At 38.2% G+C, this 26,443-nt stretch overlaps 1 long non-coding RNA gene across 1 annotated transcript in view; it reads left to right on the top strand.

Annotated features, from left to right (window-relative positions):
- Positions 1-26,443, top strand: part of LINC02220 (long intergenic non-protein coding RNA 2220) — a 155,415-nt gene that overhangs the window by 91,334 nt on the left and 37,638 nt on the right. The gene's annotated exons all lie outside the window — the stretch shown is intronic.

Here is a 26,443-nt window from a genome sequence, read left to right as displayed (position 1 = left end):
GGCGTTTTCTACATATACCGACTGGTATGCCATCCTGGGGGAAAAACCCATTTTTATTTTGTTCTTCTGAATCTGTATGTGTAGCATTTATTTTTTCTTTTCTTATCGGATTTTCTAGGTCTTCTAAGATAATGTTGAATAGGAATGATAACAGCAAACATCCTTGCCTTATTCCTGATGTTAGTGAGAAATCATCTAGTTTTTCAACATTAGTATGATGTAATCTGTAGAGTTTTTTTTGGTAGGTGTAATTATGATGAAGTTCCCTTTCATTGTTAGTTTGGTGAGGGTTTTATTATAAATGTGTACCAAATTTTATCAATTATTTTCTGCATCTGTTTATATGATTATCTGATTTTTCTTCTTTAGACTATTGCTGCGTTGAATTAATATAGTTGATTTTAAATCATAAATTGCATACCAGGAAGAAATCCCACTTGGTCTTTATATACCTTGTTGGATTTCATTTGCTAATATTCTATTAAAGACTTTCACATGTATGTTCATGAGGGATGTTGGTTTGCTGATTTTCTTTCTTTTTATGTCTTAATTCTCATTTTGTTTTAAGATAATGCTAGTTTCATAGAGCATTTTATGAAGTATTCCCTTTGCTTCTATTTTCTTAGTGTGATTGTAGTGAATTTATGGCTTTTATTCTTGAACGTTTTATAGAATTAACCAGAAGCCATCTGGGCCTGGTGCTTCCTGTTTTGGAAAGTTATGAATCATTGATTCAATTTCATTGATACTTTTAGGCCAGTAGAAATTATGGATTTTTCTTTTTTCTTTTTTTTTTTAATTATACTTTAAGTTTTAGGGTACATGTGCACAACGTGCAGGTTTGTTACATATGTATACATGTGCCGTGTTGGTGTGCTGCACCCATTAACTCGTCGTTTAACATTAGGTATATCTCCTAATGCTATCCCTCCCCGCTTCCCCCACCCCACAACAGGCTCCGGTGTATGATATTCCCCTTCCCGTGTCCATGTGTTCTCAATGTTCAATTCCCACCTATGAGTGAGAACATGCAGTGTTTGGTTTTTTGTCCTTGCAATAGTTTGCTAAGAATGATGGTTTCCAGCTTCATCCATGTCCCTACAAAGGACATGAACTCATCCTTTTTTATGGCTGCATAGTATTCCGTGGTGTATATGTGCCACATTTTCTTAATCCAGTCTATCACTGTTGGACATTTGGATTGGTTCCAAGTCTTTGCTATTGTGAATAGTGCCGCAATAAACATACGTGTGCATGTGTCTTTATAGCAGCATGATTTATAATCCTTTGGGTATATACCCAGTAATGGGATGGCTGGGTCAAATGGTATTTCTAATTCTAGATCCCTGAGGAATCGCCACACTGACTTCCACAATGGTTGAACTAGTTTAGAGTCCCACCAACAGTGTAAAAGTGTTCCTATTTCTCCACATCCTCTCCAGCACCTGTTGTTTCCTGACTTTTTAATGATTGCCATTCTAACTGGTGTGAGATGGTATCTCATTGTGGTTTTGATTTGCATTTCTCTGATGGCCAGTGACGATGAGCATTTTTTCACGTGTCTTTTGGCTGCATAAATGTCGTCTTTTGAGAAGTGTCTGTTCATATCCTTTGGCCACTTTTTGATGGGGTTGTTTTTTTTTTCTTGTAAATTTGTTTGAGTTCATTGTAGATTCTGGATATTAGCACTTCGTCAGGTGAATATATTGCAAAAATTTTCTCCCATTCTGTAGGTTGGTGGCCTGTTCACTTTGATGGTAGTTTCTTTTGCTGTGTAGAAGCTCTTTAGTTTAATTAGATCCCATTTGTCAATTTTGGCTTTTGTTGCCATTGCTTTTGGTGTTTTGGAAATGAAGTCCTTGCCCATGCCTATGTCCTGAATGGTATTGCCTAGGTTTTCTTCTAGGGTTTTTATGGTTTTAGGTCTAACATTTAAGTCTTTAATCCATCTTGAATTAATTTTTGTATAAGGTGTAAGGAAGGGTCCAGTTTTAGCTTTCTATATATGGCTAGCCAGTTTTCCCAGCACCATTTACTAAATAGGGAATCCTTTCCCCATTTCTTGTTTTTGTCAGGTTTGTCAAAGATCAGATAGTTGTAGATATGTGGCATTATTTCTGAGGGCTCTGTTCTTTACAGGACTTTTTGTAGTTTGTGTTTTTAAGAAATTGGTCCTTGCACTGGATGCAGTGGCTCACGCCCGTAATCTCAGCACTTTGGGAGGCTGAGGCAGGTGGATCATGAGGTCAAGAGATCGAGACCATCCTGGCCAATGTGGTGAAACCCCATCTCTACAAAAAATGCAAAAATTAGCTGGGCATGGTGGCAAGCGCCTGTAGTCCCAGCTACTCGGGAGGCTGAGGCAGGAGAATCGCTTGAACCCAGGAGGCAGAGGTTGCAGTGAGCTGAGATCCTGCCACTGCACTCCAGCCTGGTGACAGAGTGAGATTCCGTCTCAAAAAAAAAGAAAAGAAAAAAAAAGAAATTGGTCCTTTTTATCTAACTTATCAAATTATTAAATTTGCAGCCACAGGACTCTCATAATATTCCTTTATTATCCCTTTCATTTCCTTGGGATTCATAATGATGACCCCTTTCATTTCTGGAATTAGTCAATAATGTTTTCACACCTCTTTCTCTTTTTCTGTGTTTTTTGTTATCCTGGCTTAGATTTACAACTTTTATTGATATGTTCAAAGAACCAGCTTTAGGTTTTGTTGATTTTTCTCAATTGTTTATCTGTTTTTAATTATATTGATACATGCTGTTATTTTTAACATTTTTTTCCTACTTGCTTTACTCTTATATTGCTCTTCATTGTGTAGTTTCATGAGATGAGAGTTTGTTTTCTTGATTTTAGATTTTTTTTTTCTTTAGTGGCTCTGGATCATGGAGATGTGACCTTCCCCTCTCCTATGGAAGTGGAAGTTTAGAGGGAGCTGAGACTGTTTTCATAGCCCCTTCCTTGGTCACATAAGGCTCCGCTAAAGTAGTTTCCCTTAAAGGGTTGGCTTTTGCTGTGAAGAACACTCTGGGCATGTTTCAAAATGGTTTCTATTCCCGGTATTGTCTGAAACCAGAGGGGGTTTTTCTTACATCTTGACTGTGACATCTTAGTGGGGCTCTTGTAGGTATGGAGAGCCCCCTAAAATGGGGACCCCAGGCATTCTTCACTCTTAAATTAACTCACTCTAAGACTCCAGCAATTAGTCAAAATTGCTTTCTAAGTGTTTGTACAGGCCACATCAGGCAACCATCCCACAGTGACACTACCCCAGTGTTGCTCTATACATCATGGTACATTTGTTCTCCCATTAGCCAGCCCCATCCATCCCGGACACTATGGGCCAGCCAGGGGGCAGGCATGCCGTAGGTTTTGCAACCCTCTTATCCAAAGCTTGCATGTTGCACCCCAAGCATTGTCCATGGGACCCCAAGTCTCTAGCCACATCCAATTCTTCACAGAACCCCAGGGCAAGCCATCCACAGCTGCTGCTGGAAGGAGGGTGCACATCCAGCAGTTGGAGACATTGGTCAGCTCAGCATAGGTGTGGGCCTAGTCCATGGTGCTGTAGGAGCATGCCAAACTATGGCCGAAACGCCAAAGCGGGCACGAGTACTAACAGGGATAAATTACGTTCCTCAGGCAAAATACAGGCCAACTTTTTGTCTCTGGATAACAATGCAGCTGCTAAGGGCTTCTGCCCTGGGCGATGGTACCACACCTTATCAGCTCCCCATGGTTCTTTTGGGTCCTGTACCTGTGCCAGAGTCACAGGGGAGCTCATGATAGGCCACACAGACAATACATATGTTCCCTGGAGGAGGGTCCCTTCCCTGGCCGTTCCCTTAGGAATGGCCCATCATGGAGGTCACACATTAAATACCCAAGGAGTAACATGTAAGTAATACTGCAGGCCCTCCCCCCAGGGGGCTATGATAGCCAATCACCTGCAGTGAGGGGCTTGGAGGGTCCATGGCCAACACCAGGCTTTCTGTTCTCTTGCCTTCAGGGGAGTTGGGGCAGGCAACAACAGATTATCATTCATCCCCATACCTGGTCGGAGACGGACATGTTTCCTTCCATAGGTCTTGCCATATGGCTTGGCCTTATATGGGCCAGTGACTCATTCATCAATTCTGTAACTTTCAGATAGTTAACCAAAAGGTTAAGCCTCAATAAACTGCCTAGCTATTGGTGAAGATTACTATAGGTATCACCTTCTTGGCGATCACCATTTACATTGCCCTGAGTTCAGCTCATTAGCCACTTTATCCACACCTGGTATCAAACCATATAGCGTCAGTACTAGGCTAGACGATGATAGCAGTCCAGGCAGTAGTAGCACCCCAGCTGGCCCCATCCATATACCATTCCCCACCAAGAATTGGGGGGCACCCTTTTTTAAATGGTGAGGGCTCAGGGTCTAGGGGTGCCTCAGGCCCCATGGCCTTATCTTGCATTAGGACTACAAGCCCCAAGACCTCTTGTACCTCTGTTGCTAAGGGACTTGTACTCAGTATACTTTGCTGTTCCAAGTAGGCACCCCACTTTGCTAAAGTGGATATCTGTGCCATCCCAGTGCAGGGAGTTGTTACCCATGAGTGTACCCACCCCTCTACTGGGTAAGTTGTCCGTATGACTACTATAGCCTGTCCCATCATTCTCTCACAGACCTGAAGGACAGCATATACAGCAGCTAACTGCTTTTTAATAATGAATACCAGAGCTCAGCTCCCTTCCAAGGTTGGAACCAAAAGCCTACTGGCATTCTAAAGCACTCTATGCACCACTATAGGCCCTAGTCAAAACTATCGGTGGTCACATGTACATTAAGTTTAAATGGGTGCCTCTGATTAATCACCCATAGGGCTTGTGCCTGCTGAATAGCCTGCTTGGCTGCCAGGAAGGTGGTCTTAGCTGCATCATCCTAATCCCAGGCAAGAGGGGTGTTGCTGCTTCTAAATCTGCAAGAGAATTAGAGGTTAATGTAATATCAACAAGACTATGACATATGATGGGGCTATGCACATAGCCCTGTGGCAACACTATGAAAATCCATTGTTGCCCTCCCATTAAGGCAAACTGTTCCTGGCTTCCCGGAGTGATGTCGATTGAGAAGAATGCATTAGCCAAGTCCGATATATAGTGGTACTGTCCCCATTCCTTTGTCAAGCAGTCCGTCAAATCCATGACAGACAACACAGCTGCCAAGCTGTGTAAAACATCCACCCCCAGAATGTATTCAGGTATGGGAGAGACATACACAGTGCATAAGTGGAGAGCTAAGCAGCCGATGTCAAAGTGCAAAGATACAGGTTTTACTTTCACTGACCGGTCTTCAGAACTGCCTATGTATCCTTTCCTAGAAACTTATCTGGGATCAGGGATCAGTGGATTGCCAAGTCACATGTGGCCTTTGGTTGTCTGGTGTCCCCCTGTGCCAGGCACTTCAGCCAGTTCCCTAATTAGACAGTAAAATCTTTACACACCTGCCTGGCTGCAGCAAGTGTCTTTGAACTGAAGTGCCTGGGAGGGACTGGGTCACTCAGCATTATCCTTCTCCCGAATCACTTGCACCAAGTCTGTACACAACTGTCATCTACTGACAGTTTCTGGTACTTCACAGGCATCAGTCTACACTGTCATTAAAGCCAGCTTTTCCATCTTGGAGGCTGAGCAGAAAATGCATCCACAACTTTGTCCCAGAGACAAAGCATTCAGGTGGGGAGGGGCTCCCCTAGACACTGCCTACACTGCTTGCCTAACTCCCATGACTCAGTGGGAGTGTAGGCACTATATGAAGTGTGCTCTACTATGGGAGGGGGTCCCTGGGCCCACCCTTCGGGCCCAATGGCTTTTTTGCTCTACCTTCTGAAGGATCACAGGGTGAGCCCACAGTGGAGGAACCTCCTCCTCCTCATCATCAGACTGAACAGGAGTTTCTGGCTGGGAGGATGGGCTCAAGATCACACTGATGACAGTCTCTAACTCCTGTTCCAGGCTGTTTATCTGGGCCTCTAAGTGTCCTGTTTGTGGCTGGTGTTCCCTTACCCCCAGGTTTTGCTCTAAGCTGTGCATTTGGGCCCCCAGGAGCACAGCTTGCACCTGGAGGTCCCTTACCTGTGCAGTACTGAACATGTACTTCCTGAACTGCAGTTAGAAACACCCATCCAACTCTGGAGGCAAAGACGCATTCCTTCTTGGTGCTGTATGCTTCCAGGTGCTTCGGTGCTTTCTCCACCCTTGAGGGAGATCAGACCATTGCCTCCCATGCTTCCACTGGGGCCCATCTTAACAGCACTACTGCCACTGAGTACCACAGTCCGTTCTGCAGCCACATAGCCAACCCAGGAGCCTCAGGTGCTGAATACCCACTCACCTCATCCTGCCAACTATGCCAAATGTCAGGTTCGAGCCCCAGATGAGGTCTGAGGGGAGTGGGTGGATGGGGGGCAGGGAGCTGCAAGTGTTCTTCCAGAACACTCGAAAGACAGGAGGTAGATCCAACATGGCTTTATTCAGCAGCTCTCTCACAGTGTCAGTGCTGCATTTACACACCTCACAAACAATAGTGGCTCAGAGCCAGGTGATGAGTCTCCCCATGTTATGGCTACATAGCTGTGATTATATAACACATGGAATTGTGCACCTGTGTTCCAATCCTGCTGAGTCATGCAGGGTGTTTACCTCAGCCTCTGCCTTCCTGGCTGCAGCATAGCCATGTTCCTTACAAATAGGCTCCCCCACATCCCAAAACATGCTTTTATAAAAAATCTCCTTCACATTCAAAACAACTTAAATAAATAATCATGGTTTGTTCTCTGATTTTGAAATTATATCCTGATTTCAACAAAAAAAGATTATGATTCTATAATTTTCTATTGCTTCTGTTACAATTTACCACATTTTACTGGATTAAAACAACACAAATTATATTTCCAAGATCAAAAGTCCAACATCATTCTCACTAGGCTAAAGTCAAGGGATTGGCAGGATTTGTTTCTTCTGGAGGCTCTGAAAGGAGTCTCAGAGCTTTTCCAAGTTTTAGAGGTCATCATATTCACTGATTTATGGCCCCTTCCTCCATCTTCAAGGCCAACAGTATAGCATATTCTCACCATTTTGACTTTTGTCTCTATCCTCCCACCATTTCTTAACTGTGACCTTCCTGCATTTTCTTAGAGTAATTTGTAATTACATTGGGCCCACTTGGATAATGTTTGAATCTCAAAATTTCTAATCACATCTACAAAATTTCCTTTGTCATGTAAGATATCATATTCAGAGGTTCCTGCAATTAGTTTCCGGAGATTAATGGCATGGGCATTCATGGAGCCATTCCTTAACCTGCCACAGTAACCAAGTACTAATGCATTTTCAAATAAGATTCTTGTTTCTTGTACCTATTGATACCTTTTATATCTGTAGAAATTTTTATATCAATTTAGTTGTTTTGTCAAGATTCTGAAAATTAACTTTCTTTTCACAGCCTTGTTTTCTCTATTATTTTAAAACATACCCTGTGCCTACATATATACATCTTGTTCAAGAGTTATGAAGGATAAAATGGTTAATAAAATAATTCATATTATATTTGGGCATACTGTTTTGTATATGCTGCTTTTAAAATTTCAGTACTTCAGTTACATAACCGTTAGCTTTGCTGAACAAATGAAAACAAATTTAGGTCATGACTGTTAGATCAATGAAGATGATCTAATCTTTTGTGCCATCAAAACCATTGGCACAAGGAACCACTAGTAATCTTTTATTGTCATTGTAAAATGTACTATGAGCCCACTATAGCAGTTACAACAATAAAATGAAACGTGGGGAATGAAACCTCTTACAGTTTCCTTATTTCTGTTAAAATTATTTTATCTTGCTCTCTTGAAATATCTTTTTTAATGTAAACTGTGCCCAATTTTATATTGTAAGATACTGTTCTTTTTATGATTTGTAAATTGTTCTTTAGATATTAAGTATATTAACAAACCGCTTCACATGTTGCATTTTTTTCTTTAATATTTTCATTTACCTCTTGATTTTGTTTACTTTTATCATGTAAATGTCATTAATTTGTATTTGGTCAAACTCATCAACATTTCTCTTTTGAATTTTGCACATGAGCGTTGCATACATTATTTTCAGTTAGTATATTATGATATTCACTTATGTTTTCATTTTTTCTAAGATTTTATTCAATGAATTTTATAATATTTTAAAATAATGCTGTTATTTTTTCTGGTGTTTGATATAAATAAAAAAGTGGTTTTCACATATTTAAATAATTATCTTAGCATCATTTATACATAATATATCATTTTTCTAGTACCATATTAGACTCAACTTTATATTTAACAATGCATTTTTTTGTAAATATACTCAGAATAAGTTACCTGTTACCTAAGGTTACCTGTTTGGGGCTATATTAGTAGATTCATGTATTTATCCTATCTAAATGTTTCTATTTTTCATACGTTTGTTTTTTAAAGTTCAAGATTTTAATCAAAATCTTTGTAAGAATTAATCATTTACGTTAATAATACCTGGGTCTTCGTAAGTGCTTTGAAATATAGACACACTTTTTCTCTTCATTTAAGAAAACATTTGTTCTTTTGTATTTGGATTATTGCTTTTGTTTCTTTTATTCTGTAGGTTAAAATTAATTACATTTACTTTCTTAAATACGTTTTTAAATTCTCCAGCATTTTCCTTATATAAAGTACTGATTCTGAGTTTCCCTTATTTTAAATACTAGTAGTCTTTTGTTTGGATTTGTTAAGTAGATACTCAAGCACCTTTATACGTATTTTTTCATTTGGAAAGAAAGCCTTTGTTTTCACAGGTTAAAAAGAATTAGTAATGTAGGTGGAGAAAGAATATGGTGTCTAGACAGAGGGAAGAGCAAGTAAAAATACCTATAAAAGATTGCCTTTCAGAAATATAGGGAATTCTATTTCTAAAAATGAAGGTGTGGAAAAGAGACAATAGCTGACACACAAGAGATTGGGACCATATCAAAAGGAATGATGTATACTAAGCAAAATAATTTACTTTTTAAAAATGCATTTATTTATTTTATATTAGGCATATTAGTCATTTTGGGAAATTTGATGAAGTGTGTATATTGGAAAGTGGTGGATAAATTGGAAATAGAAAAAAATAACCAAAGATGCCATTATATCTAGTGAAGTATTTATTTTATTCACCTAGGTGGGTAAAAGATTGGTTTTAATAAAGGCAAAGTCAGATGTTGAGAAACAAGAATAGATTTTAAACATAAGAGATAGAAATGAAAATACTTCATTAGTGATTTGGTCTATCAAATAGACATAGGGAGCATTTTAGAATATATTCAACAATTTAATTCTTTAACACTAAATGAATGCTTGAACCATTGGCCCAAATTAGAAGCACAGATGGAAGAATAGATTTGAGAAAAGTATTTTAAATTTAGTTTAGTTTAGTTTTTTTTTTTTAACTGGACTTTTAAATAGGCATGTGGTTAAAGCTGTTAGAAATAAGGTTCTGGAAAATATAGAAGACATCAGGATGAAATGTACCAATTAGCTATTTAGACAAGCTATATATCAATTAGATATTTAGACAAGCGTATAGATAAATACTGAATATATCAAGAGATTGTACACCATGGAAAGGATAAGACAGAAAGAAAATAACCCTAGTGAAGGGTTGAGAAAAGGGATAGAAACATAAGCAGGAAAAACACTATCAGAAAGGAAGGAAAAGAAATATATATCAGTGATTATCAGGAAATAAATTAGAAGATATGAGGCTGTCAAGTGGATTAAATATCACAAAGTGGTCATATAACAACCAAAAATTTCCCAACGGATCTGAGATTTAAGAAATGCTTGATGACTTCAATTAGTGAATTAAATGAGCTAGTGGGTTGGAAGACAGATGGCAGTGGGATAATGATCTATGAATGATACATAGCAAAATCAAAACCTCGGAATTAGTCTGTTCTCACGCTGTTATAAAGAAGTGGCTGAGAACGGTTAATTTATAAGAAAAAGAGGTTTAATTGGCTCATGGTTCCACAGGCTGTACAGGAAGAATACCTGGGAAGGGCTCAGGAAACTTACAATCATAGTGGAAGATAAAGGGAAAGCAGGCCCATCTTCACATGGCTAGAGCAGGAGGAAGAGAGAAACAGGCAAGGTGCCTTAAGCAACCAGATCTGATGGGCACTCACTCACTATTATGAGAGCAGCACCGAGGGGGAATCACCGCCATCCAATCACCTCCTACCAGGACCTACCTTTGATACTGGTGATTACAATTTGACATGAAAGTTGGGTAGGGACACAGATCTAAACCATATCAACCTCTATTTTCACATTGGGAGCTTTTTCATGAAGAGAAAGAGAGTGCTTTAGCTCTATGGAACATGGAGAAGAATCTCTGTCAATATTGCAGTGATTTGATGATGTTCATTATAGATCCTGTTGATGGGTGGACTGATAAACTAGGTGATGGAAGAAAGTATCTGGACAAATGGTAAGGAGAGGAAAGTAGAGCACAAGTAGAAGACTTGTCCTTGGGAAAAAGTGACCACTTTCCCTTGAGATCCTAAGGGGTCTTGTGAGAATGGTTAACTAATATAGACTCCTTTTTTTTACATGAGGAGATAAGGTGATGTTATTCATATTGGATGGTGGTCTTTGCTATCACTGTCAAATAGTGAGGGATGTTTGGCAGAGTATAATAAGAAAAGTGGGCTTGATGAAATACTAAGTTTTCAGATGAACACTCTTGGAAAAGGAGAGGGAGCTATCAATAATATGTAGATGATTTTCAGCACAACACATTTTCTGACCATGGTAAACAAGCTAAAAAGTTGGTGCTCCTCTGATCCTATAGCATTTAAATATTAATTCAATGTAAATGTATTGGTGACCAGGAAGGTGAAAATGAGTAGTTCTAGATTTCATCAATTAACAAACAAGCTAAATGGCACCTTGTGTGCTGTCTGTAGATTTTTCCCTAATTGACTCACCATTTAATCTGGCTCTCCATGTGATGTTTAAAACTGTAAACTTGAAATTTGTTTAATTTTAATGAGTACTTTTGATTTAATAAGGAAGGAATATTTTGTAAATTCTAATTGGGGAATTAATAACTCCTATAGTTTTATATTATATTCTGTGTGAGTTAAGTAGAGTTTAAACCATCCAATAATTTCCTAATTTCCACAGAGAAAAACTCAGAGCCTTTAATGACTTAGAAGCCTCTATATTATCTCATCCCCATCTGGTCCTTACCTCCTCAAATTCAAATCCTATTACTCTCTTCCAGTGGTGAGCTGGGGCCACTGGAACAAGCTCTCATTCCAACTGTGTACATGTCATTCCAACTCAGCGTCCTGCAGTATTATGTCAGTATCTTGAAAATTAGTCATGGTGTGAATATTTACAAAATAGAAATTAACAAACACTAAAAATCGTGGCTTTTTAATGTTTTAGAGTCTGTTTACCACCATACTACTGTCTTCTAAAATTAGGGTTTTGCAATTGCTTTCCCTTTTCTAGGAATGCTCATTCCCAGAAATCCACAAGGCTCATCTTCATACGTTCAGGTCTTACCCATAGGTCAGGAACTCAGGAAAGCCTTCACCATTTATAATTGTAGTGTTCTTAGGTTCCTCTGCACACAACCCCATCAAACACACGCACGCACACACACACACACTCCATACCCCATTTTTTGACAATCTATATTCAATTTTTTTGCTTTATCTTTCATCCTCTCCATGTATGTATCATCCTATGATTTACTATACTTTTTTCTTATTTGCTTTATTGCTTGCCCCAACCCATGTGAAATGTATATGCATTGATTTGTTGAACACCGAATTCACAGCTTATAGAAGAGTACCTCTCAATAAATGTTTGTTGAGTAAATTAAGTGACAATACAATGGACACACTGAAATAAGTTTAACAAACATTTGGTGACTTTTTAGTGTGTGTATTTTAAAAATATTTCTTAAGAATATCAACATTTTATGGTACATTTTCTTTAGTTTGTGTTGTTGCTGTTCTTCTATGCAGTATAATCAACAAGACAGTTCATGTACCGTGAAAGAAATTAGAAAAAAAGAAATGCTTTTTTTATGCAAAATATAATAACTCAAAACCATCTAAGGTCATAAAGATATTTAAAAAGTCAATATTACATTAAAAAATAACTATTCTCTTCCTTAATCTTATTGAGATGGTATGCCGTTTTATCAGTAGCATATGGAATAAGGCCAGTGTGTTGTGACTGTGTTTGTTGGTGCACATCTGTGAAAGCTGTCTGAGGTCAGCAGTGATGAGTTTGCAGTATTATCATGCAAGAACCAAATAAATTTACAGTAGGATGGTTACTGTCATGGGTCCATATAAAGTAATATCCTTGGAGAACTATTTTAATTGTGAACCTACAAAGAGATATTTAAATTCTGCTTTTTATGCTAGCATCCATTTTCCCAAACTTGATTATTTTTTCTTCCCACGACCATGAATTATAAACACAAATTCACCTGCTGACAATCTTTTGCTTGCATCAGTAATAATGCATTGAATCAGTGCCACTTCGTATTTGAATAAATTTTTGATACTGAAATAAGAGGGAAAATGTCTGTGCATAATTAAATTATCTTCCCAAATCTGATACTGTTAACATAAGTAAATGCATAGAATAAGGATTAAAATATAAAAGGAGTAAATATGCCTAGCCAACATGAACAAGGAAAAGGAAAAAGCAGTATGAAAATAAAGAAACCATTCTGACTCCAAAGTAAAATCTCTGTCCAAAGAATCAATTAGATTCTGCTTTAACCTATATTTATATTTATGACATTCACAGATAAAAATGAGTTAAACTACATGAGCATATAAAGTGTACCGTGAGAAGTTCTATTAATAAAATACCTAAATTATTATTTTCTTATAGTTTTCAAATCTCTCAGCATTATGTCCCCTTATCAAGCCTATATTGCACTAAACTTCTACAGCTATCTTAAATACACACATACACACTCATACTCACATATCTGGTTTTCTAGATTTTTATCTCCATTATGTTCTTAGTGTCGCCTAGCAGTAGTAGTCAAGGCATTTATAGATTTGTTTCAACCTATTAATACTTTTGCAATTTATTTTGTCTTTCAACTATTCTACTATTTCTTTTGGCCATACCTATACCCCATTGTCTCCCCACAATTTTTAGAACGTTGTATGCTTTTACACAACTCACTGCTGTGCACCCTACTTCTTCCTAGAATCTCAATTCCTCTTATTTCTACTTTGAACTAAGATCTTCTAGCATAATCAGATCATATCTTTTCTGTAAAGTTTTTGCTCTCTGCTACCCTCCTGAGAGTTGAACCACCACCTTGCTACTACCATAAAATTTTCTTATGCCACTGAAAAGAGGTTTAGTTGGCTCACGGTTCCACTGACACCCATACACAAGTGTTTCTATAATACATTTTATTGAAAAGAGTGTTTATTTGTGTCTCTTAACCTCTGCACTTTATTATTTGCAGTTGACAATCACGAGTTAGTAATTCTTATATTGTGACAAGTGAAAGGTGTCTGGCACCTAGAATTTCACAAACTTGCTGATTACAGAATAAAAGGCAAGTAAGCAAATTGTGGGAAGCAGAAATGTAAAGATTTTCCCCTCCTCAAATCCCTGTCCCACGGTCATTGAATCAAACAATAATCTAGGTATTGCTAAGAAGGAGCTTTGCAGATGGAATTGAGGTTGGAATTTATAGTCAGCTGCCCCCAAAATAGAGAGATTATTCTAAATGATCTAAGTGAACTCAGGGTAATCATCTGAGTCCTTAAAAGTAACAGAAGAATGCAAAAGGGCCCATTAGAGATATGTGGCAGATGTGTAAAGGAGGAGAGAGAAGGAGGGAGAGAAGATCAGAGAGATTTAAAGCATGAAAAAGACAAGCGATTGATAGCATTTTTTTTTGTATTTCCCAAATATTCTCTGGGATTTTTTTTTAAATTTTGTTTATCATGTTTTTTTTTAAATTATACTTTAAGTTCTGGGATAGATGTGCAGAATGTGCAGGTTTGTTACATAGGTATACACGTGCCATGGTGGTTTGCTGTACCCATCAACCCATCATCTACATTAGTTATTTCTCCTAATGTTATCCCTCCCCTAGCCCCCCACCCCCTCAACAGGCCCCAGTGTGTGATGTTCCCCTTCCTGTGTCCATGTGTTCTCACTGTTCAGCTTCCACATATGAGTGAGAACATGCGGTGTTTGGTTTTCTGTTCCTGTGTTAGTTTGCTGAGAATGATGGTTTCCAGCCTCATCCATGCGCCTGTAAAGATAGCCTTAAAAGAAGAAGGTAAGGTAAGTGGGTGGCCTCTGGAGGTTGAGAATCACCCCAGACTGACAAGTGGCAAAGAAATGGAAACCTGAGTGCTACCATCACATAGGACTGAATTCTGCCAGGAACTCACTCGAAGAACCTGGAAGCAGATTCATCTTCAGAGCATGGAAAGAAACACGATCTTACTGATGCCTTAATTTGAGCCTGGTGAAACCTTCGTCAGAATTCCAACTTACAGAACTGTGAGATAATAAATAAAATTGTGGTAACTTGTCGTAGCAATGATAGAGAACGTATAACAAAATGATAATTTATATTCTCACTCTGGGGGGAAAAAAAGCATTTATTCAGTGTTTGGTTAATACTCCTTAATCTTTGGGCTGAACATAACAATAGTGAACATGAAAAGGTCACTCTCCTCATTGAGCATAATTCTATTATAATTACCTCGCCATTATGGTGTTAGCATAAACCTTCTCATCTCCAATAATTTGCGTGACTGCAAGTAGCCCAGTGATGAATCAGTACACATTATGATTTGTGCAGAGATTAACATTACCTTTGTTACAACAGATTGACTATTTCCTAGCAATTTTAGGATTCATGTTTATAACCTACCCAAGCAGCAGGTTCTCTGAAATTGTTTTCCATCCGTGGATTGACGGTACACTGTTTTTCTAGAATGGCTATGGGAATTCAATATTATTTTGAGAAGTTAGATTGTCTGATGGGAAGAAGTCACAAGTTAATCTAAACTGAGTTTTTCTCTTAATTTTTTTTAAGTGACAGCACAAAAAACCCTGCAATATATAAAAATGATATTTAGTTTTCTTAAGTTTCTCTCAAATTACATATTATTTCAGCTTCTTAATGCAAAATTATATCCATATTCTTAGTCAATAGTATGCACAATGATTAAAGACTAAGTTCTCTGTAAGGGAAGGGGTTTTAAAAATATTAAGATAGTTTTCTTGCTAACCTTTCTGATAACGAAAGTTTCATTCTGGTGTGCCCTAGATGTCTGTGTCTTTTTTTTCTTTCTTGGATTGAGAAGACAGGAGGAGGTTGAAGATTATGACATTACTGAATTAGTTTACATAGAAAAAAAAGAGACTGTGCTCTTGTTTATATAGGGGTGAGGATTAGAAATATTTCTAAAATAAATGCAAAGAGTTTTGAGTTTTGAAAATGTGAAAGGCTGTTGAGTTGTTTTGATAAAATGTTTTCTATAATTTCCTTCATTTAGTGTGTCAAAAAGGTCTCAGTTCACAGCGTTTTTCCTACTATTGAGAGGACACCCTCTCATCTATAACATCATAGCCTGGATATTTGCTTTTTATTGTAGATAGAGGCTGTTTAAGAGGAGAATAAAAAAGGAATCAACCATAAACAATTGTGAAAAAATAAACAAAAAGAAATCACGGAAGTGAAATATCATATTTTTCTTCAAATTTTAACCTTTCCATGCCTTGGTAGAAATGGAAAGTTTTCTTACATAAGGGAAGTGAGGTGGAATCTTGCTTGGGATTCTCATTTAGTATTCTTGGAGGGAACCACTACGCAGAGATACTTTGTAGACATGGCTTAATCCAGCCCAGTAGAAAAAGTGAAAGGTTGAGCAGCTGAAGAGAGGACCTTCCCACATGGTACTAAGATGCGGCATGGTACCGAATTGGACAAGGTTATGCATAGCAAACTTGAGATATGTCTTCCCAGGTAAAAGGCTGGATGAACTGCGGGAATGACACAGATTCTAGGGCCTGAAGCTTGGAACATTCCGAGAACAACTGAGTCTTCAAGGAGATAGAGTTGATCCCCAAAATACAGATTGTTTAGCAGTTACAAATGCTGCTCTAGCCAGCAAGAAATGGGACACTGTCTTGAAAGCCAGAGAGAGTCAGACACACTGCAATCAGTCCCTGACCTGCTAACTTATGAGAAAGCCACCCACTTTCACTTGCCCAGCCAGACATGTCTATGGAATAGATATGAAAGGGAGATGGAAGGCAGAAAATCTGACATTCAAGCTGTTACGTTATTACTATTAAAAAGAAATAAAATATTTGATTTTCTGAATCTTATTAAGATTTAAATCAGCTTGAACTAAAGGTTATATGAAAGTTATTTTTTTTTCACCATTAGCTAGCACATGGAAGATCATGATAGGACCAGAAGAGTTATAGACAACTCAGAGGCGTGATATTCACTTTATATATTCAGTATTAGTGCAAGTTAAATCTGTCACCGCATCTTATGTATGTTTTAGAAGATCCTTTCTCCTTCATGAGCTTGCGATTTACTACAACTATGTTTCATATATATAATATGTATATATATACATATATGTGTATATATGTGTGTGTAAATATATGTATATTTTATATATGTGTGTGTATATATATATATAATATATATATTACATTCAGTCAAGATTTCTGCTTCAACTCTTCCCTGGTGGCATATAAAAACTAGTATTTAGATAATAATCACAACACTTTATATTTGTACAATTCTTTATAGATTTAATGTGTTTTTTTATGTATCATTTCTCTTGATTCTGTAAAAACTCTGTGAAATAAGTCCTGTATGATCCTACAGCTTGAACTGGCATAGATTACCCAGGCGTACCACTGTTGTAGTATGAGAGAGGAAACCACTGGACTGCCTCATTGTGTGTGGCTCACAGGATTAGTTACAATGATGAACAATGTAAGTGAACAACAGCAACCTTTTTTTTTTGCCACATACCTCCTTCTTATATATTGTATACTGATTCCTTCATTTAATCTTTACAAAATCTCCATCAATACTTTGATGAACTATATACAACATATAAGAAGGTAGTGTGTGTCCAGGCAAAAACACTTACTGCTGTTTGCTTATCTTGTTTATCATTATAAGTAACCCTGTGAGGCATACACAATAAGGCAGTCCAATTTTTTTTATTAGTATGCTTATTTTTCAGAGAGGTCATCTCAGAGGTGGTACTTTTATACGTTTCAGAAAATTTTCTACAAAGTCTTATATTTGATTTTATTCCAAATGTTGGAGGATTAAAGGATTTGAAAATCCAGAAATATTCATTAATTAAATAAATTGATTTATAATTCATAAATACAGATCCCAGAAACCATTTCCAGGAGCAGTTGTTAGTTCCTTTTGGCAGCCACTTTTATCAGTTAACTTTTAAAAGATTAATCAAGTCAAGATACAATTTTCCATCATAAACACTTGTTTCATTTGGTAATTTCATAAAAATCACATTTTATCTCTAAGATATTCTGAGATTGTTGAGTAATTTTGTACCTATTACTTTGGATATACAGCAATCGATGCTTTTAAATATATTCAATAAAATATGTTTTTCCTAAAATGTGCCTACCTAGCCCAAATCTGTAACTTGCTTTGATACACACACACATACACACACACAGACACACACACACACACACGCACACACATTCTATTCTGTTAAGAACAGCAAAGGTGCCAAAGTGTCAACATTTCTTTTTTTATCTGTTTAAAATGACATCTCTTCCATATAATGTCTTCCTCTTTCAGTATTTGAATTTGTAATCTTCTTGGTAATTACAGAAATGTTAACATAGTTAAATAAAGATCTATGCTTGCTAAATTAATAAGAGATTAGAGATATCATAATTCTTTTTTTAAAAAAATTATCAAACCAGCGTAACAGGTTTTCTTGGGTGGATAAAGGCCCTTAAGGAAACTGTAGTTGCTCTTTTCACTTTATTCATAGCTCCCTCAGTTACAAATATGTTCTTGGCATTTTCTTTTATTGGAATTGCCTCATGTTAACCAATTTAGGTAAAAAGATAATATCCAAAGAGGAATTAATGTGAAAATTTTATTAACAATTCCACTGTATTATTTCAACAAACTATAAATATTGTGCATTTTGTTCAAACTTATAGATTGTTCTAAGTTACTAATCTAGACTGCAAAAATACAGAAAATACATTTTAATACAAGGATCTAGTTTCCATTAGACATTTTTTACATATTTATACCTTTGTTTCCTGAAACACTATATAAATTACTGATCATTTAATATTAAAAACAGAGGCATAAGTTTTATTAAAAAGGGTACATTTAAGAAAATTTAATGTTCAGATATTGAGCCTCTATTATTTGTGCATTTTTGAACTGCATAGGCATTTATTGTTCTAGGTTACATAATTTTGCCTGTTCTAAAATAACAGAATTATTATCTATTATGAACACTTCTATTCACACAAACCAGAAAAGCTAGAAGAAATGGATAAATTTCTAAAAACACACAGCTTTCCAAGAGTGAACAAGGAAGAAATTAAAACCCTGAGTAGACCAATAACAACTTCTGAAATTGAATCAATAATAAAAAGCTTGTCAACCAAAAAGCCATGGAAAATAAATAAAATGCCCAAAGAAAAATAAATCATCTTACCAAAAAGACACATGCGTTTGTATGTTCATTGCAGCACTATTCACAACAGCAAAGATATAAGATCAACCAAGATGCCCATCACCAAAGAACTGTAAAATAAAATCATATAAACCATGGAATACAATTCATAAAAAAGAATGAATACATATCCTTTGCAGTAACATGGATGCAGTTGGAGGCCATTATCCTAAGTGAACTACTGCAGGAATGAAAAACCAAATACTCCATGCTCTCACTTATAAGTGGGAGCCAAACATTGACTACACATGGCACAAAGATGGGAGCAATAGACAATGGGGACCGCTTAAGAAGAAGGTTTAGAGGGAGCATGGGTTATAAAGCTACCTATCAGGTACTATGCTCACTACCTTGTTGATGGGATCACTCATTCCTCAAGCCTCAATGACACACCATTACCCATGTAACAAACCTTCACATGTGCTCTCTGACATTAAAATAAAAGTAGAAAAGAAGAAAAAGAAATAGACTCAGCTCTCCATAGGTTAGTAACTTCAGAGAAGCAAAAATCCTCCTTTGACCTAGTGTTTGCATCTGTAACTTAAAAAAATATTAACCAGAATGTATCAGACTTTATTCTAGATATCAAATATTATTTGTTCTTATTGACTGAACTTTCACTAAATCAGAACCTTCCCTTTTACCTCTTCACTGTATTGTAACCCAAAGCAACAACATTTCCTTCAGTGAAAACCATGCCTTATATTTCACTGTTTTTTCTTCTACTGCTTAATTGTACCGGCAACATAACTGATATACACATCTGTATGGCATATTCCATCCAGTATTCTCTATCCATTTAGCAGTTACATTCTCCATTCTTGAATCATAAGATGCACAAACCATATTCTTGGACTTTCATCATTCTGAGATAAATTTAAATAATACAAAGAAAGTGCTTTTTTGAAGAACAAAAATGGAGGAATATCAACAGTTTCTCTGTTTTCACTTAACTAGAACTGGAATCAGTTGTGGTGCATATCAGGGCATTCAATGCGTTAGCATTCTTCCTTATTTCTTGTACTTTATGCTTTATGCTTTACTTCCCCCGTTTCCTGTATGCTTAGAGTCCATCACTTTAATATTCAATCTGTCCTTAAACAACACTTTTATTTCTATTTTCTGATATCTGAAGTCACATAAGCATGGAAAATGCCAAAATCTGTCAACTGCATTACTGACCAATTTTATAGAATAATTAGAAGGAGACAGATCATTGTCACCAATATCTGTAACAGCAATAATGTCTTCAAAACTGTCAACAATCTTAGTTTTCTTATTCAAGGCTTATTTCTGCTTTCAAAAATAAACATTTTGAGCTCGTAAACTCTGGTGAATAGAAGAAACAGCTTCCCCATCCCCAGTAGTGGCAACATCCCTCCCTGACCCATGCTGCCATCAGCCTTTCCAACTTTATTTGAGAAGATAAGCCCTGCGCTGCCTGCGGCAACAGTGATGGCCTCCCCTCAGGCAGTTGCAAGATAATGTGATTCTCCTACAAACCACCCTCAACACCCTTGTTTGCTTCTAGACGTATAACTAGACTAAATTCCTGGCAAGCGTCTAGAGGTGAGGTTCAGAGTGTGACCCATGAGGAGGTTTGCTATGCTCAAAAAGAACTGCATGAGTTTTCTAATTTATATAAGCAGAAACCTGGAGAACAGGCATGGTATTGAATATTAAGGGTGTGGGATGATGGTGGAAGGAACACAGAGTCGGATCAGGCTGAAATCTATTGATTTGTGACCACTAAGCAGGAACTCTGAATTTAATGTTGCAGCTTGGGAGTTAAAAAAGGTTCTAATAATTTATTTTCTTGGTTAGCTGAAATATGGATTAAAATATGGCCCACTGTGAGTGAGTTGGAAATGCCTGATCTTCCTTGGTTTAATGTAGGGGAAGGGATCAAAAGGCTTAGGGAGATTGGGATGGTGGAGTGGGTTAGTCACTTTAGACTTACTCATCCCAGCTGGGAGGGTCTAGAAGACACACCCGTGACCAATGCTTTGTGAAACAGATTTGCAAAGACAGCACCTGGATCTTGGAAGAGTCCTGTAATTTGTCTTTCCTGTATGTCAGATCTAACAGTGGGAACCGCAGTCACTGAACAATAAAATTTAAATGCAATGTGAATAATTGGATCCCAAGGTGGCAGGAGCCAAGTGGTGGCACTCAACCATCAAAGACAAGTTGGGTGTAGCTATTGTAATGGACAGCAGAGGCAAAGCAGCAATCAGAATACTCTGACTCATGTAGAGATCTGATATTGGTTAATTAATTACAGTGTTCCTAGAAGTGAAATTGATAGGAAGCCTACTACATTCCTACTTAATTTATATAAACAGAAAACTTCCAGATCAAGTGGACAAAAGACTAATTTGAATTACAAAAACAGAATCACAGCCCCTCAATCAATTTCCAGGTTTGAGCCAGTTTACAAACCCAGAACCCCTTGAATGAAGGGGAGGCTGGTCACCTTGAGAAGGACCCCACTACACTACTGACAATTTATGCGTTAATTTTTCTCCCAACCATCCCCAAGGAGACCTCCAGTCTTTCACCAAGGTAACTGTGCACTGGGGAAAGGGAAATTATCAAACATTGTGGGGACAACTGTACACTGGCTCTGAGCTGACATTGATTCCAGGGGACCCAAAACATTATTGTGGTCCTCCAGTTAAGGTAGGGGTTCATGGAGGTCAGATAATTAATGGAGTTTTAGCTCAGGTCCAACTTACAGTGGGTCCAGTGGATTCCTGGACTCATCCTGTGGTCATGTCACCAGTGCCAGAATGCATAATTGGCATAGACATACTTAGCAGCTGGCAGAAACTCCACATTGGCTTCCTCAGTGGTAGGGTGAGGGCTATTATGGTGGGAAAGTCCAAATGGAAACAATTAGAGTTACTGATACGTATAAAATTAGTAAATCAAAACCAATATCACAACCTTGGAGGGATTGCAGAGATTAGTGCCACCATCAAGGACTTGAAAGATGCAGAAGTGGTGATTCCTACCATATCCTCATTCAGTTCTCCCATTCGGCCTTGCAGAAGATAGATGGATCTTTGAGAATGACAGTGGATTATCATAAGGTTAACCAAGTGGTGATTCCAATTGCAGCTGCTATACCAGATGTGGTTTCATTGCTTGGGCAAATTAACACATCTCCTGGTACCCGGTATGCAGCCATCGATTTGACAAATGCCTTTTCTTCATTCCTGTCCATAAGGCCCACCAGGAGCAATTTGCCTTCAGCTGGCAAGGCCAGCAATATCCCTTTACTGTCCTATCTAAGGGTTATATCAACTCTCCTGCTTTGTGTCATATTCTTGATTGCTTTTCACTTCCACAAGATATCACACTGGTCCATTATATTGATGACATTATGCTGATTGGATCCAGTAAGCAAGAAGTAGCAAACACACTGGACTTTTTGGTGAGACATTTGCATGCCAGAGGATGGGAAGTAAATCCAACTAAAATTCAGGAAACTTCTACCTCAGTAAAATTTCTAGCGGTCCAGTGGTGTGGGGCCTGCCAAGATATTCCTTCTAAGGTGAAGAACAAATTGTTGCATTTAGCCACTCCTACAACCAAGAAAGAGGCACAACGCCTAGTGGGCCTATTTGGGTTTTGGAGGCAACACATTCCTCATTTGGGTGTGCTACTTCAGCCTATTTATTGAGTGACCCAAAAGGCTACCAGTTTTGAGTGGTGTCCAGAACAGGAAAAGGCTCTGCAACAGTTCCAGCTGCTGTGCAAGCTGCTCTGCTACTCGGGCCATATGACCCAGCAGATTCAATGGTGTTTGAGGTGTCAGTGGCAGATAGGGATGCTGTTTGGAGCTATTGACAGGTCCCCACAGGTGAATTACAGTGGAAGCTTCTAGGGTTTTGAAGCAAGGCCCTGCCATCTTCTTCAGGTAACTACTCTTCTTTTGAGAGACAGCTCTTGGCCTATTACTGGGCTTTGGTGGAAACTGAATGTTTAATTATGGATCATCAAGTCATCATGTGACCTGAACTGCCCTTCATGAACTGGGTACTTTCTGACCCATCTATCTATAAAGTGGGTCATATACAGCAGCATTCCATCATCAAATGGAAGTGGTATATACATGATCGGGCTTAAACATGTCCTGAAGGCACAAGTAAGTTACATGAAAAAGTAGCTCAAATGCCCATAGTCTCCACTCCTGCCACCCTGACTTCTCTCCCCCAGCCTGCACCAATGGCCTCACTGGGAGTTCCTTATGGTCAGTTGACGGGAAGAGAAGACTAGGGCCTGGTTCACAGATGGTTCTGCATGATATGTAGGCACCATCTGAAAGTGGACAGTGACAGCACTACAGCCCCTTTCTAGGACAAACTGAAGGACAGCGGTGAAGGGAAATCTTCCCAGTGGGCAGAACTTCGAGCAATGCACGTGGTTGTACACTTTGCATGGAAGGAGAAATGGCCAAATGAGCAATTATATACTAATGTATGGGCTGTAACCAATGCTTTAGAGGGATGGTCAGGGATTTGGAAGAAGCATGATTGGAAAATTGGTGACAAAGAAGTCTGGGGAAGAGATATGTGGATAGACTTCTCTGAGTGGTCAAAAACTGTGAATATATTTGTATCCCACATGAGTGCTCACCAATGGATGACCTCAGTAGAGGAGAATTGTAATAATCATGTGGATAGGATCACCCGTTCTGTGGACACCACTCAGCCTCTTTTCCCAGCCACCCCTGTCATGGCACAATGGGCTCACTAACAAAGTGGCCATGGTGGCAGGGACAGAGGATACATATGGGCTCAGCAACATGGACTTCCACTCACCAAAGCTGACCTCACTACAGCTACTGCTGAGTGCCCAGTTTGTCAGCAGCAGAGACCAACACTGAGCCCTCAGTGTGGCACCATTCCTCAGGGTGATCAGCCAGCTACTTGGAGGAAGGTTGATTATATTGGACCTCTTCCATCATGGAAAGGGCAGAGGTTTGTGCTCACTGGAATAGACACTTCCTCTGGATAAGGGTTTGCCTATCCTGCACACAATGCTTCTGCCAAGACTACCATCTGTGGAGTCATGGAATGCCTTATCCACCATCATGGTATTCCACACAGCATTGCCTCTGACCAAGACACTCACTTTACAGCTAAATAAGGGCAGCAGTGGGCTCAGGCTCATGGAATTCACTGGTCTTACTATGTTCCCCATCATCCTGAAGCAGTAGATTTATAGAACAGTGGAATGGCCTTTTGAAGTCACAATTACAATGCCAACTAGGTGACAATACTTTTTAGGGCTGGGACAAAGTTCTCCAGAAGACCGTGTATGCTCTGAATCTGTGTCCAATGTATGGTACCATTTCTCCCACAGCCAGGATTCATGGGTCCAGAAATCATGGGGTGGAAGTGAAAGTGGCACCACTCACCATCACCCCTAGTTATCCACTAGCAAAATTTTTGTTTCCTATTCCTGCAACATTACCTTCTGCTGGCCTAGAGGCCTTAGTTCCAGAGGGAGGAATCTGCCACCAGGAGACACAAAAATGATTCCATTAAACTAAAAGTTAAGATTGCCATCTGGACACTTTGGGCTCCTCCAACCTTTAAGTCAACAGTCTAAGAAGGGAGTTACTGTGTTGGCTGGTGTGATTGGCCTGGACTATCAAGATGAAATCAGTCTACTACTCCACAATGAAGGTAAGGAAGCATATTGTGGAATACAGGAGATCCCTTGGAGCGACTCTTAATATTACCATGCCCTGTGATAAAGGTCAATGAGAAACTACAGCAACCCAATCTAGGCAGGACTACAAATGGCCCAGACCCTTCAGGAATGAAGGTTTGGGTGACTCTACCAGGAATAAAGCCACGACCTGCTGAGGTGCTTGCTTAAGGTAGAGGGAATACAGAATGGGTAGTACAAGCAGGTGGTAGTCAATACCGGCTATGACCACGTGACCATTTGAAGAACTGAGGACTGTAATTGTCATGAGTATTTCCTCCTCATTTTGTTAAAAACGTGTTTGTGAATGTATACACTTGTACTAAGAAAATAACTTCATTTTATTTCCTTTTCCTTTATCATGTGACATAAGATTTATTGGCTTTCTATCAGCATTTAAGTGTTGTTAGCTTTATGTAATAGTATTTGGGTTGGGGATTGGTGCATTTCCTGTTGTAGGAAGAATAGTTGTATATATTAGGCATAATTATGACCTTATTATTTTATTATTGTTTTTATTTGAACATTCTGTATGATCTCAGGAGAAGTGTATGGGTTCGAGTTGACAATGGGTTGACTTGTGATGGTTAATACTGAGTGTCAACTTGATTGGATGGAAGGATGCAAAGTATTGATCCTGGGTGTGTCTGTGAGAGTGTTGCCAAAGGAGATTAACATTTCAGTCAGTGATCTGGGAAAGGCAGACCCACCTTTAATCCAAGTGGGCACAATCTAATCAGCTGCCAGCATGGCCAGAATATAAAGCAGGAAGAAGAACATGAAAAGACTAGACTGGCTTAGCCTCCCAGCTACATCATTGTGCTGTGCTGGATGCTTCCTGTGCTTAAACATCAGACTTCAAGTTCTTCAGCTTTGCGACTTGGACTAGCTTCCTTACTCCTCAGCTTGCAGGCAGCCTACTGTGGGATCTCGTGATCATGTGATTTTAATACTCCTTAATAAACTCCCCTTTATACATATCTATATATAGATCTACGTGGATATAGATCTATGTATAGATCTACGTGGATATAGATCTATGTATAGATCTACGTGGATATAGATCTATGTATAGATCTACGTGGATATAGATCTATGTATAGATCTATGTGGATATAGACCTATATATCCTATTAGTTTTCTCTCTCTAGAGAACCCTGACTAATACACATAACATAATGATTTACCCTATTTATAGCATTTTCAAACTCTTCCTTTGTAATAGTTCGTTCTCACCATGACTTAAATACTCAATTCCCAAGTATAAAACCAGCAATCTACTTTCGCTCCTCCCATTGTGTATACCTTCTTGAAATGACAGTCTATACACAAAACACAAAATTCCTTTCTTTTAAAATTCATTATCCATTTTAATCCACCTTTCATTTTATTACTTCACCAAAGCTGTTCTAATCTTGCCGTCAGTGTTATTGAATCTTTTGTTTGCCTTTCATCCCTTACCTTGCATTAATTCTCAATAGTATTCAACACTCCTAACCCTCTTAACTTCTCAAATCCTTGGGTTTTCTTAGCTAATAGGGTATCACACGCCGTAGTTTTCCTTCTGCCTGTGACCAGTCAACAACTTCCAGTCTTTTACTTTCCCAGACTTTCTTATCTAACTAAAAGTGTTGCCTTGCTGTGATTTATCCTGTGCTCTTTATTTTTGTCCTTTTACAACTTATCTCTAGCAAAAGTTATCTAAGTACTTCCACAGTTTCAATTATCAAAGTCTATATCACCGATCCAGATTAGTTTTCTTAGATACAGACAGACTTGACTTATCCATTGACCTAATATGCATATACATTTGGATAACTTATATAACACTGATAATTTACATGTTTCAAATATATATAATATAATAATATAACAAT

The sequence above is a fragment of the Homo sapiens genome, chromosome 5 (genome assembly GCF_000001405.40).
Source record: "Homo sapiens chromosome 5, GRCh38.p14 Primary Assembly".
NCBI classification, from domain to species: domain Eukaryota; kingdom Metazoa; phylum Chordata; class Mammalia; order Primates; family Hominidae; genus Homo; species Homo sapiens.
This window is presented reverse-complemented; position numbering and strand designations above follow the sequence as displayed.